Source organism: Homo sapiens, chromosome 11, assembly GCF_000001405.40.
Source record: "Homo sapiens chromosome 11, GRCh38.p14 Primary Assembly".
NCBI classification, from domain to species: Eukaryota; Metazoa; Chordata; class Mammalia; order Primates; family Hominidae; genus Homo; species Homo sapiens.
Genome location: NC_000011.10, coordinates 120,491,227 through 120,508,600, shown reverse-complemented (window position 1 = coordinate 120,508,600; position 17,374 = coordinate 120,491,227). Strand labels below are relative to the sequence as shown.

General features: G+C 42.7%; 2 annotated features.

Annotated features, from left to right (window-relative positions):
- Positions 4,825-4,884: an enhancer, noted in NCBI's record as "active region_5638". NCBI's record gives its function as "activates an Ori minimal core promoter by ATAC-STARR-seq in GM12878 lymphoblastoid cells {active_cell/tissue: GM12878}" and the evidence as "EXISTENCE:reporter gene assay evidence [ECO:0000049][PMID:35858748]".
- Positions 5,095-5,154: an enhancer, noted in NCBI's record as "active region_5637". NCBI's record gives its function as "activates an Ori minimal core promoter by ATAC-STARR-seq in GM12878 lymphoblastoid cells {active_cell/tissue: GM12878}" and the evidence as "EXISTENCE:reporter gene assay evidence [ECO:0000049][PMID:35858748]".

Sequence of the window (17,374 nt, the reverse complement as noted above, 5' to 3'; positions counted from 1 at the left end):
ACCACCGCACCCAGCCTCGAGTCCAAAACTTCTTAGCACAGCATACAAGTTCCCTGCTTACTTCCCCACCTCACCCATCATCCATTTCTGTCCATCTCACCTTCAGTCAGTACCAAGCAGCACTGAGTTCTCTGCTCATCCCATTTCATACCTCTGTGCCTTTAACACACTGAATTCTGCCCAGAGTCCCCACCCTACCTCCCACATACACACTGATACACAAGTTCCTATTAACCGCTCAGAATTCTGTTTGGGAACCTCTCCTACTAGAAGTTTATCATACCTGGCTATCTAGTCCCTTCCCAACAGAAGTAATTACTCCCTTCTCGGGATCTCTCTTGTGCTTGTTAGAGTTTATGGTCACTTACTTGTTTCACGTCTGCTCTCACTAATAGACTGTGAGCTTGTTCTCCTGGATTTATATTTTAGCTTCTCCCTTCTTTGTATTTGCCTCAGGTATATCCGCAAATCAGATATTTGATCTTAAATTTACCTACCATTTCTTTTCCAAAGGTCCCTTGAAGGTTCATCTCAAGTTCATAATTAGACTATAGGCTTTTTAAAAAATCTCTGGCCGGGCACAGTGGCTCACACCTGTAATCTCAGCACTTTGGGAGGCCGAGGCGGGTGGATCACCTGAGGTCAGAGTTTGAGACCAGCCTGGCCAACATGGAGAAACCCTGTCTCTACTAAAAATACAAACTTATCCGGGCGTGGTGGCATGGGACCTGTAGTCCCAGCTACTCAGGAGGCCGAGGCAGGAGAATCACTTGAACTGGGGAGGCAGAGGTTGCTGAGATCGTGCCATTGCACTCCAGCCTGGGCAACAAGAATGAAACTCCAGCTCAAAAAAAAAAAAAAAAAAATCTATTAACCACACAGTGCTTGGCATAGGAGATTCTTAGTAAATGTGTTGAATGGATAAACCAATAGAGAGAAGGGGTTAATGAGGTCTACAGTTCTGGCAAATCGGATTTGCTCCTGTCATTTGTCCAGATGAGTCAGATGAAATCCTAACTGGCAAATATGAAACTGTGCCCTTGGTAAGCTTAAAGTCTTTACAACCTAAGTTGAAGCTGGGGTTCACATTTGAGGAACTTAGGTTGAAGGAAGCAAGGGCCTGATTATATATCATATTGCAAGACTATTAAAATTCATCAGTCCTATCGGAGTACTTAAACTCCAGATTAAAAGAAAATAAATTCTGTGTTCTTCTTGTCACTTGTTTGGAGGATAAATGGTTCATTCTTACAGCAGATGTCTCACAGAACCAGTTTTGAAGCAGAAGTGAGTTAGAAGGAGAAATGTTCTCGATGTTTACTCATGCTTTAAAGGATGCAGTAAGCAGTGGTTTTGCCCAGTGATATTATGGGCAAGTATTGGCAAAGAGCAAACATATATGTGTGTGTGGTTCACATAGTCCCCAAGTCTCATGGCAGCATGCTGTTTAACGCAGCTGGCTGCAAATACTACATCGAATGTTAAAAGGTCCCATCCCCACTTGACAACTATATTATTACACAGCTCCCTCCCCGCAATGTCTCTTGTCTCATTTATTAGTCTAGGTGTAAAGAATACTGCTCGCATTGAAATTAAAAGAAAAATTTAGATCATCCTTAATCAGAATATAACCTGCCTCTCATTCCGCAGCCCTGCTCCCATCCCTCATGTGAGAACCTAATTCATTTCTACCACGTGTCTCAGTTTCCACTTGCTATTCTGCAGAGGAGATAAGCTGCTGTGACAATAGTTCTTCAAGACATCTTTGGTGCCTATTATGTGCCAGGCACCAAAGACAAAATAGGAAACCAGACAAATCCAGGGCTGGTCCCTTTAGCGTTGGTAGTCAAGTAAAAGATGTTATAGAGGCACTACATTTTCCTTCTAACAGTTTTGGTCCACTTGACATCAGGTATGTTCTTTATGGCATTTTGCAATTAACTCAGTTACACGGTCATAGTTTAGTCTGACAGTCTGGATGGAGGCAGGGGAAGGGGCGTGCAACTTTTGGCAACTCAAGAGTTGGAGCCAAGGGCTTTAGCACACAGAGGCTTGGGTATGCACTCAGAATTCTCAGTCTGAATCTTCCATAGACCTGCATTGTAGCCGGGAGTCTTCCACTATGGCCATGCCTGTCTGGGAAAGGGGACTTGCTGCTCATTTGCACAAATAAAGGCTTTAACCAGTTCCACCATAGTAGGGGTACTATGCTTACATCTCTAAAAGCGGGATTTTACTTGTGATAAGCTTTATACTTTCACATTCATCTTTCGTCATTTGATTTTCATAGTTGGTCCAGGTAGGTTCCATTACATGACATTATAGATACAAACCACTCAGTCAGGAAATAGCAAAACTGGGCTAAAACTCAGGGCTTCCGGCTGCATGAAAGACACTGGTCAAAGATCACTATGAAAGTCAAGCTGTGTAAAATGTTAAGCAAGTATTAAAGCCGCAGTATTTTCCCCCATCCTTTTACTGTTTTTCTTCACCACTTCCAACAATAAGAGCAACTGAAGAAACAATCCACTCAAACAGGAGGAAGAGGTCGGAGGAGGAGGAACAGAGTGGCATTTTCTACCTGGGAGCAAAGCACAATCACTTAGCAATGGAAGGTACAGAGAAAAGGATCTGTCTTCTCAATGAAACCACCCCCGGATATCGAAAATAAGGTGGCAGTTTTCATATTGCCCCAGGTGTCTGGGGTTTGCAATTTATCTAGAGTATAGTTTTGTCTGAAGACTGGCATTAAATATTCCTATAAATTATTATGAAATAACACAGGGATATTATAAAGGCATTCAAAGGCAAAAAAGCGTGTGCATATACATATGTGCATATATGTCTATATGTGTATACATATTTCTGTATATATGTACTTCATAGATACATATATCTCTCATCATATGTGTAACTCAGCATCATGCAATAGAGCAATAATTTATTGTACAGCTTCTGTCTGCCAGGTACAGCATAGTATTAGACACTATAGGGTACAGAAAGAAAAACTGGCCATGGTTTCTACTGTCAAAAAGAATACAGACTCATGCATTTAATTTTCCCTCCTAAAGGAAAACCTTTAAATTTTATCTCAGAGCAATGCTTAGGAATTTGGGCTCTCTTAAGGAATTCAGAATAGCAAAAGGTATAAGATTCTATTCACCCAGGAGGGACTTCTTACTCTTCGTAGCTCAGTAAGGGATAGGTTACTTTCAAGAGGGGTATTATATAGGAGGCTATGCCCAAGTGTGAAATACTAGAAGAGATACCTTACCAGTGAGCTGCAATTATAACAAAGGTTTCCTTTATAACAACAGTTAACATACACTCATTTCCATCTTGTTCTTCCAGATTCCAGGCAAAAATCTTCATTTTAAAACAATTCAGTTATCTTAATTCGGAAAAGACAAAAGGGAAATGTAGTAGCTATCTTCAAATACTTAAGATCTTTCTTACGTTGCTCCACAACCAGGACCAGTGGATAGAAGTTACAGAGAGGCGGCCGGGCACGGTGGCTCATGCCTGTAATCCCAGCACTTTGGGAGACCGAGGCGGGTAGATTACCTGAGATCAAGAGTTCGAGACCAGCCTGGCCAATATGGTGAAACCCCATCTTTACTAAAAATACAAAAATTAGCCGGGCATGGTAGCACGCACCTGTAATCCCAGCTACTCGGGAGGCTGAGGCAGGAGAATTGCTTGAGCCCGGGAGGCAGAGGTTGCAGTGAGCCAAGATCGTGCCCTGCACTCCAGCCTGGCCGATAGAGCGAGACTCTGTCTCAAAAAAAAAGAAGTTACAGAGAGGCCACTTTTAGCTCAAATAAGAAAGAATTTATGAGTTGCCTCAGGAGATAATGAGCTCCCCAGCCCTGGAAGTATACAAGCAGATGGATGGCCATCTGCCAGGGCTGCCCTAGAGGGTATTCCAGCAGTAGATTAGGAGGTTGAATGAGGTAACTTCCATCTGTAAATTCTTGGATTCTCTCAGTCTGTCTTCTTGGCCCAAGGCTAAAAGGAAATTTGGATCTTTGGAGAAATGTAACACTTATTGTTGAAAGTAAAAACTTGCCTTATGTTTTTGGACCTTTTTCTTTAGATGTATGGGTGCTTTTCTTTAAATGCAGCGAAGATACTTAATACCAGAAAAGGCAATAATTACTTAAGTGCTCTATTGACAAAAGTAATATTATTGACACACTGAAGTGTTACTAGGTAAATAGCATTAATGGCCTTTTTTAAAAAGGATACATTTACATGAGAGGAAGACAGTTCCAAAATAAAACCAATCTGAATAGATGAACATCATGTTTGTTTTTTAAAATGACTTCTTGTAACACACACATGCATATACTTTCAGGAATGAAAACAGTAAGTAGAGTAAAAATGAAAACGTGTCTCTATATATTGCTTTATGCTTCCATGTCAGACTGCACCTCCTGCCAGAGGAAGGATGGTTTTCTTCAAGCATTTTCCAGCATTAAGCATTTGGGTAAACTTCAGCACACACGGCAGGGTGCGGTGGCTCACGCTGTAATCTCAGCACTTTGGGAGGCTGAGGCGGGCAGATCACATGAGGTCAGGAGTTCGAGACCAGCCTGACTGACCAACATGGTGAAACTGTGTCTCTACTAAAAATACAAAAAGTACCCGGGCGTCGTGGCGGGTGCCTGTAATCCCAGCTACTCAGGAGGCTGAGGCAGGAGAATCACTTGAACCCGGGAGGCAGAGGTTGTAGTGAGCTGAGATTGCGCCACTGCACTCCAGCCTGGTGACAGAGCTAGACTCCGTCTCAAAAAAAAAAAATCCAGCACACACAATAATACCTTGTTCTTCTGAATACAAACTGACTCCAAGCTACCCTCCCCCTCCACCCTTCTGAGGGAGTACACTGCTTTTAAAATGCTAATTAATTAGGCCCCCTGTTGAGGTGTATGGTTGACTTAAAAATTTGGCTGGGAAAGAGGAATAGAGAAATTAAACTGAAAAACAAAAGTTGAAGAGGTAGACCCAGCTGAAAATACCTATATACAAATACCTATACAGTTAATAACCAAGTAAGTCTTATCTCTCCCAACCCCAAAGACAAGATTTTTATTTTTGGTAGCGATAGAAGGGTCTGTTTTATGGTGTAGTTGGCTAAAGAAGTGGGTGGGGGAAGGGAGAAAAGGTTTATTAAATACTGGAGGCTACTCCCAGGACTGTGTTTTCAACCATCAGTTGAAGGTAGTGAACAATTACTCCGTGGCTCCTAGGTGGCAGGCACTGTCCTCGATTTTTGCTGGTGTGGTTCCATTCCCCAAGAACCAGCTCACTCCAGTGAGACCTACACAGGCAACATTCCCCTGTGCACTCCCTTAGTGGCGGTCCCCACTAATTCCAGTCCTCAGCTCAACACTGTTGCCTCTGCACCTTACTCATTAACAACATAATCAATCCGAATGCACAAGTAAATGCATTTGGATACATATCTTATTATTTATTTTTTTTTTTTTTCAGATGGAGTCTCGCTCTGTCACCCAGGCTGGAGGGCAGTGGCATGATCTTGACTCACTGCAACCTCTGCCTACTGGGTTCAAGCAATTCTCCTGCCTCAACCTCCCCAGTAGCTGGGATTACAGGCAGCCGCCACCACACCCAGCTAATTTTTATATTTTTAGTAGGGATGGGGTTTCGCCATGTTGGCCTGGCTGATCTCGAACTCCTGACCTCAAGCGATCCACCTGCCTCGGCCTCCCAAAAGGCTGGGATTACAGGAGTGAGCCACTGCACCCGGCCCTGGACGTAGAGCTTATATATAAATTTGAACTAATGAGTAGTAAGCATTCTGAGGATAAATGTGCAAAGCACATCATGGTTTACAAAGTGCTTTCACAGCCATCATCATATTTCTCATTTCAACCCTGAGTTGTGTTATCCTCGTTTCAAAGATAAGAAAATTTGTATTTATTTTTAATATTATTTGTTTGTTTTGAGACAGGGTCTCACTCTGCTGCCCAGGCTGGAGTGCAGCGGTAGTATCATAGCTCACTGCAGCCTTCAACTCCTAGGCTTAAGCAATCCTCCTGCCTCAGCCTCCCATGTAGCTTGGATCACATGGGTGTGCCACCACACCCAGGTAATTTTTTGATTTTTTGTAAAGATGAGAGTCTCACTTTCTAGCCCAGTCTGGTCTCAAACTCCTAGGCTCAAGTGATCTGCCTGCCTCAACCTCCCAAAGTGCTGGGATTACATGTATAAGCCACCATGCCTGGCTGAAAATAGCTATTTAGTAGTAAATTATGAGCCTTTAAGTTGTATTTTCTGATTTGAAATCAAAATATTCCCCTTCCACTAGTTATATTTTAACAACCCCACCACCATCCTGATATAAAGAATCCGAGGTACAAAGTGATTCACCAAACCAAGCTGTGCCACTGAAATGAGCTAAAATCTACATTCCTGCTCCGTAAGGTTCCGGGCTCTTTTCTTGTAACTGAGCCAAGTCACCAGCTTTGCCTTGGGCCAGATGAAAAGATCAAAACATTCTTTGTAGAATGGAAAACATAGGTGAAATCAAAACAGCTGGAAAATTCAACCTATCACTTGAAATTTCAAGAGTAAAAATTAAGGTAAAAAAAATCAATCTTACTTTTAAAGTAAGTTCAACTGTATCTTTCTCTCTCTTATTCTGCGCCTTGTTTTATACATGTGCCTTGTTTCAGATGTGTCTCTCCCAGGGGCAGGGTCCAATTGTTTATCATTTTAAAATACAATATTTGGAAAACATTCCCCAGGATAACATACACCGTCCATTATACAGGTTTTAGTCACTAGGGCTGAAACTAAGCATCTAGACTCTGAGTCCAGACAGAACTGTGCTATTCTTTGTTTAACAGAGCACATGGTTGACATTTAATAAATGTTAGATAATAAAAATAGAAGCAGTACTTCAACATAACAATATCTGGAGAATCTCATTAAGCACAAAGTAAGGTAAACAAACCACCATCACACATCTGGATTTGCATATAAAAGCACGTTCTCCTTCCATTATAAAAGACAGGGACCTGCTGGACAGCATGTTTCACCCAACACCATGGTAAGAGAAGGGAAAAAAAGGTTATTTTGTTCAGCTCTCTTCCCTAATTATACCTTAGATCTGAGTAAAGAAAATATAGCACACATGATCAGAAATAATTTATCACTAAATAAATAGCAATGGAGTAGGGGGTTAATCACATTATCAATAACATGGTGAGCAGAAATGGACAGATGGGAGCACCAAATTATTGACAACAGCATGAAACAGAAAAGGAAATTCAAAGCCAGAGGAGATGAGTCAAGAAATTAAACTTGGTTTCCATGTTAATTCAAAATTGTTTGGGAGCTGAAGGAAGAGGGAAGCAATGACAACTCCAGCAGAGAAACTGCTCATTAATATCCTAGCAAAACAATCCTCTGATAATAGGAAATATTATGATGTCTCCAGAGAAAAGAGAGAAATTCAGATTTACTCTCCCATGCATAGAGCTCATGGATGCTTTAACACAGTACATTCAACCAAGCTGAATAAATATCAACAAGAAGGTTAAAACATTGATTAGGGGAAATACTTCACATTACTGACATCCGAAAACAAACAAACCAGCTAAAAACAAAGCAGGCGGGGACGGGGGTGGGGGGGTGGGGGATGTAGGCTGTTTTATTCCTCTGGAAGTAATGCTGGTGATTTGTGGTTCCAGCTGCCCAGCAGGTGGCTTGAGGTAGGGATTGGGGAGTAGGAAGCAGAGGGAATGAGAGGTGGGAGGGAACATTTCCTTGGTGCAAAGCTATTGAATGCTGCTACTATTGGGTTTATTATGCTGTTTTATGAAGCGATACAAGAGATTACCCAAACATCTTCAGCTAACATCAAGACTGCACTGGACACCTAATAAAACAAGTAGCTTGGCCGGGCGCTGTGGCCCACGCCTGTAATTCCAGTACTTTGGGAAGCCGAGGTGGGTGGATCATTTGAGGTCAGGAGTTGGAGACCAGCCTGGCCAATATGGTGAAATCTGGCCTCTACTAAAAATACAAAAATCAGCCGGGGGTGGTGGCAGGCGCCTGTAGTCTCAGCTGCTCGGAAGGCTGAGGCAAGAGAATCACTTTAAACTGGGAGGCGGAGGTTGCAGGAGCCGAAATCGCACCACTGCACTCCAGCCTGGGCGACAGAGCGAGACTCTGTCTCAAAAAAAAAAAAACCAAGAAACAAAAAACAAATGGCTTGTAAAAAATTGCCAAATCTTCTAGATGATTGAATCTATATAAATCCTCTCCTGTCTAGCCTTTTGGTGTCATATCACTTCATAATACTTGTCTAATCTTAGCCAAAACAAGGATAAGAAGTTGGAGGTTACAGCAAGAATTTAGGAAGGGACTCCTCCTTATGTTCACATACTTAAAAAATGGTCTTTCTCTTTCTACCTTTAGTTACCAAAGAGCATGGGGGTGCTGGGAAAGGTCAGCCCAGCTGCCTGATGCTAAATAAAACTGCTCTCAACTCTCAGTATCACTGCATCTCTGAAGGTGGAGGGAAAACATGAAGCTTCCCTGGTGTCTTGCCGGCCATCGTGCAGTTAAGACCCCAAGGCGCCTCATCTCTTTTGCCACACTGTTCACAGACATCTTGAAGGGAAAAACGAAATTGCTGGCAAGTTGGCATAATGTCAACGCATCAGTAGATCCCACTGAGATTCTTTAAAGAAAAAAAAAAACCATACATTTTCACAGCTTATCCCAACTGTCCTTGCCGTATGTTCCTGTACGCGGTAGACTTTTTGGACTATGAGGAAATCAAAAAACAAAGTGTAGCAACTGGCCAGTTGTGGTGGCTCACACCTGTAATCCCAGCACTTTGGGAGGCTGAGGCTGGAGGATCGCTTGAGGTCAGGAGTTCAAGACTAGCTTGGTCAATATGGCGAAACCCCATCTCTACTAAAAATACAAAAATTAGCTGGATACGGTGGTGCATGCCTGTAATCCCAGCTACTTGGGAGGTTGAGGCAGGAGAATTGCTTGAACCCAGGAGGTGGAGGTCGCAGTGAGCTGAGATCTCACCACTGCGCTCCAGCCTGAGTGACAGAGCGAGACTCTGTTTCAAAAACAAACAACAGACAAACCAAAGTGTAGCAACTGACCTCTTATGAGGTATTTTATATTGTGAGGGGCAAGCAAGAAATAAAAGACTAATTATGACCGAATATAAAGTATTTACTAGCTGCTGGGCACGCCACGTGCATTGTTTCATTTTCGTCAATGCAACCCTGAGGAAGGTACTATTATTAACTCAGTTTTTGCAGATGCTGAAACTGACGCTTAACGAAATTCACTTGCCCAATGTCACGCAAGTCAGTAAGTGGCAAAGCCAGCACTTTCTGATGTCGAGAGACCATTCTTCCTACCCACTATGCCACATACACCAATTAGAAGTCTCAAAAAAATAGAATGGGTTATTGGGCAAAAAGATAAGTTCCCTAAGACAGAAGATGTTCACCCATCTCCAGTGTGAGTAGAGAAGGGACAAAGGCACTGAGTCACTCAGTATGAGGACACAGTAGGTGATCTCTGAGGTACTTTTTTTCTTCCACTTAAAAAATATATAATTCATATGCCATAAAATTCACCATTTTAAAGTGTACGACTCCGTGGTTTTTAGTATATTTGCAAGGTCATACAGCCATTGCCACTAATTCCAGAACATTTTTGCCACCGCCCCTGAAAAAATTCCAAATCTTTTCATTACCAAATATCCATGAACACCCTCCCCTCTCCCCAGTCCCTGGCAACCACTAATCTACTTTCTATTGGTTTTCCTATTCTACATATTTCATATAAAGGAATCATACAATATGTGGCCATACAATTGGGGACCGCCTTCTCCACCTAGCATAAAGTTTTCAAGATTCATTATGTCGCATGTTATCTGTACTTCATTCCTTTTTTAAGGGCAAAGAATATTCCCCTATATGAATATACCACATTTGGTTTCCCCAATCAGTTGACAGACTCTAAAGTACTTTCAATTCTGAGATTTTATGACACAGATTTTATGCACACAATTGTGGATTATGTCCTTAATCCAACTGAAACAACACGAATGACAACTTGATTTAGCTCTGGAACTGTATTTGCCACATCTTGCTAGACATCTGTAAGTTGAGACAACACTGCTACCTAAAACTCAACATGGCCAAAATTACACTGATTTTCCCCTCAAAGCCTATCTCTGCTCTATGCTTTCCCAGTTGTTAATCAATCTCTTTGGTTCACAGAAAGTCTTGTTTTTTAAACTCCTCCCTCTCCTTATGCTACATATTAACTTACATGCTAACATCTGTAATTTCTACCTCAACTACACCATTTTTCCCCTTTCTGTTCCTACTTTACCAAATGTAAGCCTCTTGTTCAGATATTATCACTCTGCTAGCCTTCCTGCCTCCCAACTCTCCTTTGCCTGCTTTATTCTACTTTAGCATAATTCAGCTGCTGAGTTAATCTCTTTAAATGTTTAGTTGTGTTCAAGTCATTCCCAAGATCAAACACCTTGAATGGAATGCAAACTTCTCAGAATTTCTGCCCCTTAGTCCAGTGTAGATAACTGCAATTTAGGGAGGGAGAAAAGCAGAAAATTAATATTCATGTACTTGTCACTACTAGGCTGTAAACACCTTTAAGTACAGAAACTATTTCTGCAGCCGGGTAAAAAAGACAAGCTTTGGTGGAAGACAGACCTTATCTTGAATCCTAGCTGTGCCACTGGGAACATCATAATCACTACTAGCTTCAGTTACCTGCTCTGTAAAAATGGAGAAAAACCACTTACCTTATGAGGTTTTTGTGAAGACAGGAGTCATGTATGTAGTGTACAGCACCTGACACATAGTTTGTACTCATTAAGTTGTAGCTAATATTTTTATTTTTTATTTTATTTTGATTGCTGGGCTGGAGTGCAGATCATGGCTCACTGCAACCTCCGCTTCCTGGGCTCAAGTGATCCTCCCACTTCAGCCTCCCAAGTAGCTGTGACTACAGGCGCACATCACCTCACCTAGCTAATTTTTCTATTGTTTGTAAGATGGTGTTTCACCATGTTGCCCAAGCTGGTCTTGAACTCTTGGGCTCAAGTGACAAGCGATCCACCCTCCTCAGCCTCCCAAAGTGCTAGGATTACAGGCATGAGCCACCATGTCTGGCCAGCCATTATTTATTTATTTATTTATTTATTTATTTATTTATTTATTTATTTATTTTCAGATGGAGTCTTGCTCTGTCGCCAGACTGGAGTGCAATGGTGCGATCTCGGCTCACTGCAACCTCTGCCTCCCGGGTCCAAGTGATTCCCCTGCCTCAGCCTCCCAAGTTGCTGGGACTACAGGCGCCTGCCACCACGCACAGCTAATTTTTTGTAGTTTAGTAGAAACGGGGTTTCACCCTGTTGGCCAGGATGGTCTCCATCTCCCAACCTCTTGATCCGCCCGCCTTGGCCTCCCAAAGTGCTGGGATTACAGGCGTGAGTCATCGCGCCCGGCCAGCTATTACTTTTAATACTCATCTTGGAAGTTTCCAAAGTACATTTCAGACTAAGGGAAAAGCAAAGGTGGAGTCCCGGCCTAGAATGTGAGGTGGGGAGACTTGGAGGAGCCTAAGCCTTACTGGGGAAGAGGGCTCACGATGGACAGTAGAGGGAAATGAAGCTGGCCAAATTATGATCATCTCTGAAACAAAGCGGAGTTTAATCGATACAGTAGTAACCATAGCCACTGCAGGTTCTTGGGCAGGCAAGTGGCACAATGAAAGGAATGTTTTGGAGCAAACCTGGCGGGTAGTCATGCATGACAGGCTGGAGAGCGGAGGAGGCAGCAATCTATGCAGGTGTTTTAGTTACATGGAGCTGTGCCGCAAGATAACCTGCTACAGTGGAAACAGAGCAAGGGGTAAATCAGAGACATTTTGAAAGAAAAAAAATCATAGGATCAAGTAACAAATACTGCAAACGAGCCTAACATCCACCTTCTTTTCCCTAAGGCCTATGATTCCTTTTTTTCCTTAAACCATCTTCAAACGCCCTGCTCTGCTGCAAAGCTTTCTGAAACAAAGCTGGGAATAAGTTAACCAATTAATCAACCAACTCTATAGTCACGGCCGCCAAGCTGTTCTGGCCCAAGATAGAAAGATTCCTGCATTTAATCTGCCTTGGTATGCCCAGCCTTAATTGCATGTCAGATCAGTACATCTTTGAAGAGAGAGGGAGAAAAGAGTTGAGAATGTAAGTTAATCATAACGCATGTTTAAAGATGCAGAACTGGCTGGGCGCCATGGCTCACGCCTGTAATCCCAACACTTTGGGAGGGCCCAGGCAGGCAGATAGCTTGAGGTCAGGAGTTCGAGACCAGCCTGGCCAACATGATGAAACCCAGTCTCTACTAAAAATATAAAAAATCAGCTGGGCATGGTGGCATGTGCCTGTAGTCCCAACTACTCAGGAGGCTTAGGCAGGAGAATTGCTTGAACCTGGGAGGCAGAGGTTGCAGTTAGCCAAGATTGTACCACTGCACTCTAGCCTGGGCAACAGAGTGAGACTCAGTCAGGAGAGGAGAGGAGAAGGGAGGGGAGGGGAGGGGAAAGGAAGGGAGGGAAGGAAACAGAACCTTCCTCAAACACTCCTATTAGAATGCCAATATCCCCACCAGAAGCAAACATTAGGCTCTGTAGGTATTGCAGGTAAATGTCACTGACTACTCAACCAGGATTTATCCCAAAGAGGACAATTTCCAAAAGAAAAAAAAAGAAACAGTAGAGAAGATTTGAGTCTTTTACTCTCAGTAGGTGGCAAGCCATAGAAACAGTTTTGTCTAATCTCCTTTCCTGTCACTTGAAGTGTTGGTTTGTAAATATTTGATTGCATGAAAGCATCCAAGTTATCTGGGACTTATTCTTGCTGGCTGGAACAGTTTCTCTGGTGGAGCATTTGCTTGCTATACAATCTGGTTAGCTTATATTCTGGGGACTCAACTTCTACAAAGTCTCCAAATTTCATAAGCCTTTCAGAACCGGCCATCACTCAGGACACGAGCTGAAGTGGAGATAAGACCTCCAGTCTCTCCTCAGCCAATGCTCAGCAAGTCTTCTCTGAACCAGGAAAGTCAGATTTTCTTCCACAAAAGCCTCCAAGTTGTTGTAAACTGGCAGTGAGACCGTGATGAAAGAAGAGATGAAACTGTTTTATCAGACTGCAGGTAACAGTAAACTAAAGTAAGCTGTCAAAGATACTTCAAAGAAGAACAGGAGAAAAAGAATTTTCCAGGGACAGATTTCAGTGGGTGACATTAAAATTACACTCTAGTTGGGTGCAGTGGCTCACACCTGTAATCCCAACACTTCAGGAGGCTGAGATGGGAAGATTGGCCTGGTGGCGTATGCCTGCAGTCCCAGCTACTGAGGAGGTTGAGGTGGGAAGATGGCTTGAGCCCAGGAGGTCGAGTCTGCAGTGAGCCGTGTTTGTGTCACTGAACTCTAGCCTCAGTGACAGAGCAAGACCCTGTCACAAAAATAAAATAAGCAAATAAAAGAACACTCTAATTGGGAGCAACACAGAAGGTCAGGAAAGGATAGAGCTTACCTGAGAATACCTAAGCAAGCCAGTGGGCAAGCTCTGTCTGTTTTCCTGTGCTATCAATTTAACATTCAGAGTTGAAGGGGCCTTGGAGAGAACTGACATCCAACTTCCTCAGTGTAAGATGAGAACACTGAGCCTCGATAAGTAAATGACTTGTTGTAGGTTAGATAACCAGCTGATATCAGCACAGAGACTAGAAGGAACTCAGTTTAGTTTGGTCTTGCTTCCCTGGTATGTACGGGCCCTCTCCCTATGCATAGGAGGGGAAGGCAGAGAGGAATCCCAGAAATCCTGTCATATGCTAGACTTTAGGCCATGATGTCTGGGGCTGTTTCTTCAGAAAAGGTTTCAAAGTGCTATTATGATTTGAATATGAAAATCACTTATGCTTTTCAGTGCAGGGGACGTGGTGATTGATGCATTTTTAGGAAGACAAAACACAAACTCTCACTAAATAACCACAATATAACTCAGATTTCCATTAAGACTTAAAAGAAAGTAAGCAGCTTATATATTTGAATACAGATGTTTCAAAACTACAAAGATCTAGCTTTAACTGGAAGATAACCCAAGTAGTATTAGCACATTGTATATGGGAGCTTGCAGCAAGATGAAAACCACTACAGGTGTACATAATCACTGAAAAGTTTCTGGAACATCTACCATTCCACTTCACCCCATTACAACAGTAGTCCCAAAACATCACAAGTCCAATACATAGGTTTCTCTAAAACCAAGGCTCTCACTAAAGCAAATGTAATCAAAAGGGTATTTTTTTCTTTCTTTACACTTAAAAGAACAATCAAGTTAAAGTGTATTATTACAGAGGTCAGCAACTTATTTTTTTTTAAATGGGGCTCGGTGCAGTGGCTCACGCCTGTAATTTCAGCATGTTGGGAAGCTGAGATGGGAGAATCGTTTGAGGACAGAAGTTCCAGACCAGCCTGGGTGACATAGTGAGACCCTGTCTCGAAAAAAAGTTTAAAAGTTAGCCAGGCATGGTGGCACGTGCCTGTATTCCCAGCTACTTGGGAGACAGAGGCAGGATTATTTCAGCCCAGAAGTGCAAGGCTGCGGTGAGCTATGACAGCACCACTGCACACCAGCCTGGGCGACAGAGAGAAACCCTGTCTCTAAAAAATAAAAAGAACACACATATACTCACCCCTAAGAGTCTAGGGTTTAGACACACCAAAACCATAATATTACAGGAAATATGGCTGTATTAGCAAGTGGGATACCTACATATTCTTGACTATTTTTCTCCTCTCCTGTTTTAGGTACTTCAGATCCTGAAATGGGGCCGGGCACGGTGGCTCACGCCTATAATCTCAGCACTTTGGGAAGCCAAGGCGGGCGGATCACGAGGTCAGGAAATCGAGAACATCCTGGCTAACGTGGTGAAACCCCGTCTCCACTAAAAATACAAAATATTAGTCGGGCTTGGTAGCGGGCGCCTGTAGTCCCAGCTACTCTGGAGGCTGAGGCAGGAGAATGGCGTGAATCGGGAGGCGGAGCTTGCAGTGAGCCGAGATCGCGCCACTGCACTCCAGCCTGGGCGACAGAGTGAGACTCCGTCTCAAAAAATAAAAAACACAACAAAAAAATCCTGAAATGGAAAATAAAAAACGAAAAATGTTGGGGAGATACCAGCCTCATGCCTAGTAATTTCTCATTTAATCCTCACAACTGTTAGGTTGGATATTATTTACTTCAATTTATAGATAAGAAAATGGAAACAGAGAAGGTAGCTCACTCAAGGCCACACAGCAAGTAAGTAGAAGAGTTGAAACCGAATCCAGATCATCTAAGTTCAGGTTCTTTTCACTACACCAACAGTTCTCAAAGTGTGGTCTGCAAACCTTTGGGGATGCCCAAGACTCCCAGGGAGTCAAAACTATTGTCATAGGCTGGGCGCGGTGGCTCATGCCTGTAATCCTGGCATTTGGAGGCTCAGGCAGGACGATGGCTTGAAGCCAGGAGTTGGGAGGCCAGCCTGAGCAACACAGTAAGACCCCATTTCTACAAAAAATAATCTTTAAAAAATTATCCGGGCACGGTGGCATGCACCTGTAGTCCCAGCTACTAAGGAGGGTGAGGCAGGGCGGCAGGATCCCTTGAGCCCAGGAGTTTGAGGCTGTAGTGAGCTATAACTGCACCACTGCACTTCAGCCTGGATGACAGAGCAAGAACAGAGACAGACTGCAAAAAAAAAAAAAAAAAAAAAAAAACAAAAAAAAACCCAAAAACAAAAAAAACCCAAACCCCAAAACTTTTCATAAAACTACTGAGACACCACGTACCTTTTCAGCATGTTGACAATTGCACTGATGGTGCAAAATCAATAGAGGGTGAAGCTGCTGGTGACTTGGCAGGAATCAAAGTTGTTGTACCAAATTTCATTAACACTGTATCTGTTACTGCTGCTGACTTGCAATAGACACTGCCAGTTGCACTTAAGAATGTCCTTGACGAAGCAGTAAATTTTAATAATTTTATGAAATCTCAACCCTTGAGTACACATCTTTTTAATATTTTGTGTGAGGAAAAAAAGGTAAGTATGCATCAAGCAACCCTGCCACATAACAAAGTACCATGGTTGTGGCTGAAGGAAAGGTACTAGCTACTTTTTTTTTTGAGATGGAGTCTCACTCTGTCACCAGGCTGGAGTGCAGTGGCGCGATCTTGGCTCACTGCAACCTCCACCTCCCGAGTTCAAGCAATTCCCCTGCCTCAGCCTCCTGAGTAGCTGGGACTACAGGCGCACGCCACCATGCTCGGCTAATTTTTTGTATTTTAGTAGAGATGGGGTTTCAACATGTTGGCCAGGATGGTCTTGATCTCCTGACCTCGTAATCGGCCCGCCTTGGCCTCCCAAAGTGCTGGGATTACAAGTGTGAGCCACCGTGCCCAACTTTTTTTTTTTTTTTAAATGGAGGAAGACCATTTTAACATGAAAGAATGACTGGTAAGCAATCGCCATTCAGACTTGAATATTTGGCAGGTATCTTCTCACTCAAAAATTAAAAAAAGTGAGGCTGTCATTTCAAGGAAAACTGTATTTGTTGCCAATGATAAAATTCAAGATTCCAAGGAAACATTAGAATTTTGTGAAATTTGCATTTACCATGGGACTTTTCTGATATCAGTTGTGATATTAACAAATGTGACTTGATATTTATATAAAGAAATGTGTCAATATTTGGAAGAACTGCATAATTCAGTAAACCAGTATTTTCCAAATGACCAATACAGGATATTACAAAATCATGCATGGGTAAAAGTTACCACTCTTCACATAAATAAAGTGTAAAACGGATCAGTGGATTTTTAGTTTAACAGAGTACAAAAACTTCCTTGATAGGATTTCAGATTCCACACTGCAGCTATCTTTGAAGGAACTATCACTTGCCAAATTTTGTACAGTATCAAAGAAGAATATCCATAATTATCTGAAAAGGCTATTCCAATATTTCTCCATTTAAAAATATGTATCCGTGTGAACCTGGATTTTCTTTATATACTTCAACATACCACAACAGGGCCGGACACAGTGGCTCACCTGAGGTCAGGAGTTCGAGACAAGCCTGGCCAACATGGCAAAACCCCATTTCATGCGGGAGGCAGGATAATCGCTTGAACCCCGGCAGTGGAGGTTGCACTGAGCTGAGATGGCACCACTGCACTCCAGCCTGGGTGACAGAGCAAGACTCCGTCTCAAAAAAAAAGAAAAAAAAA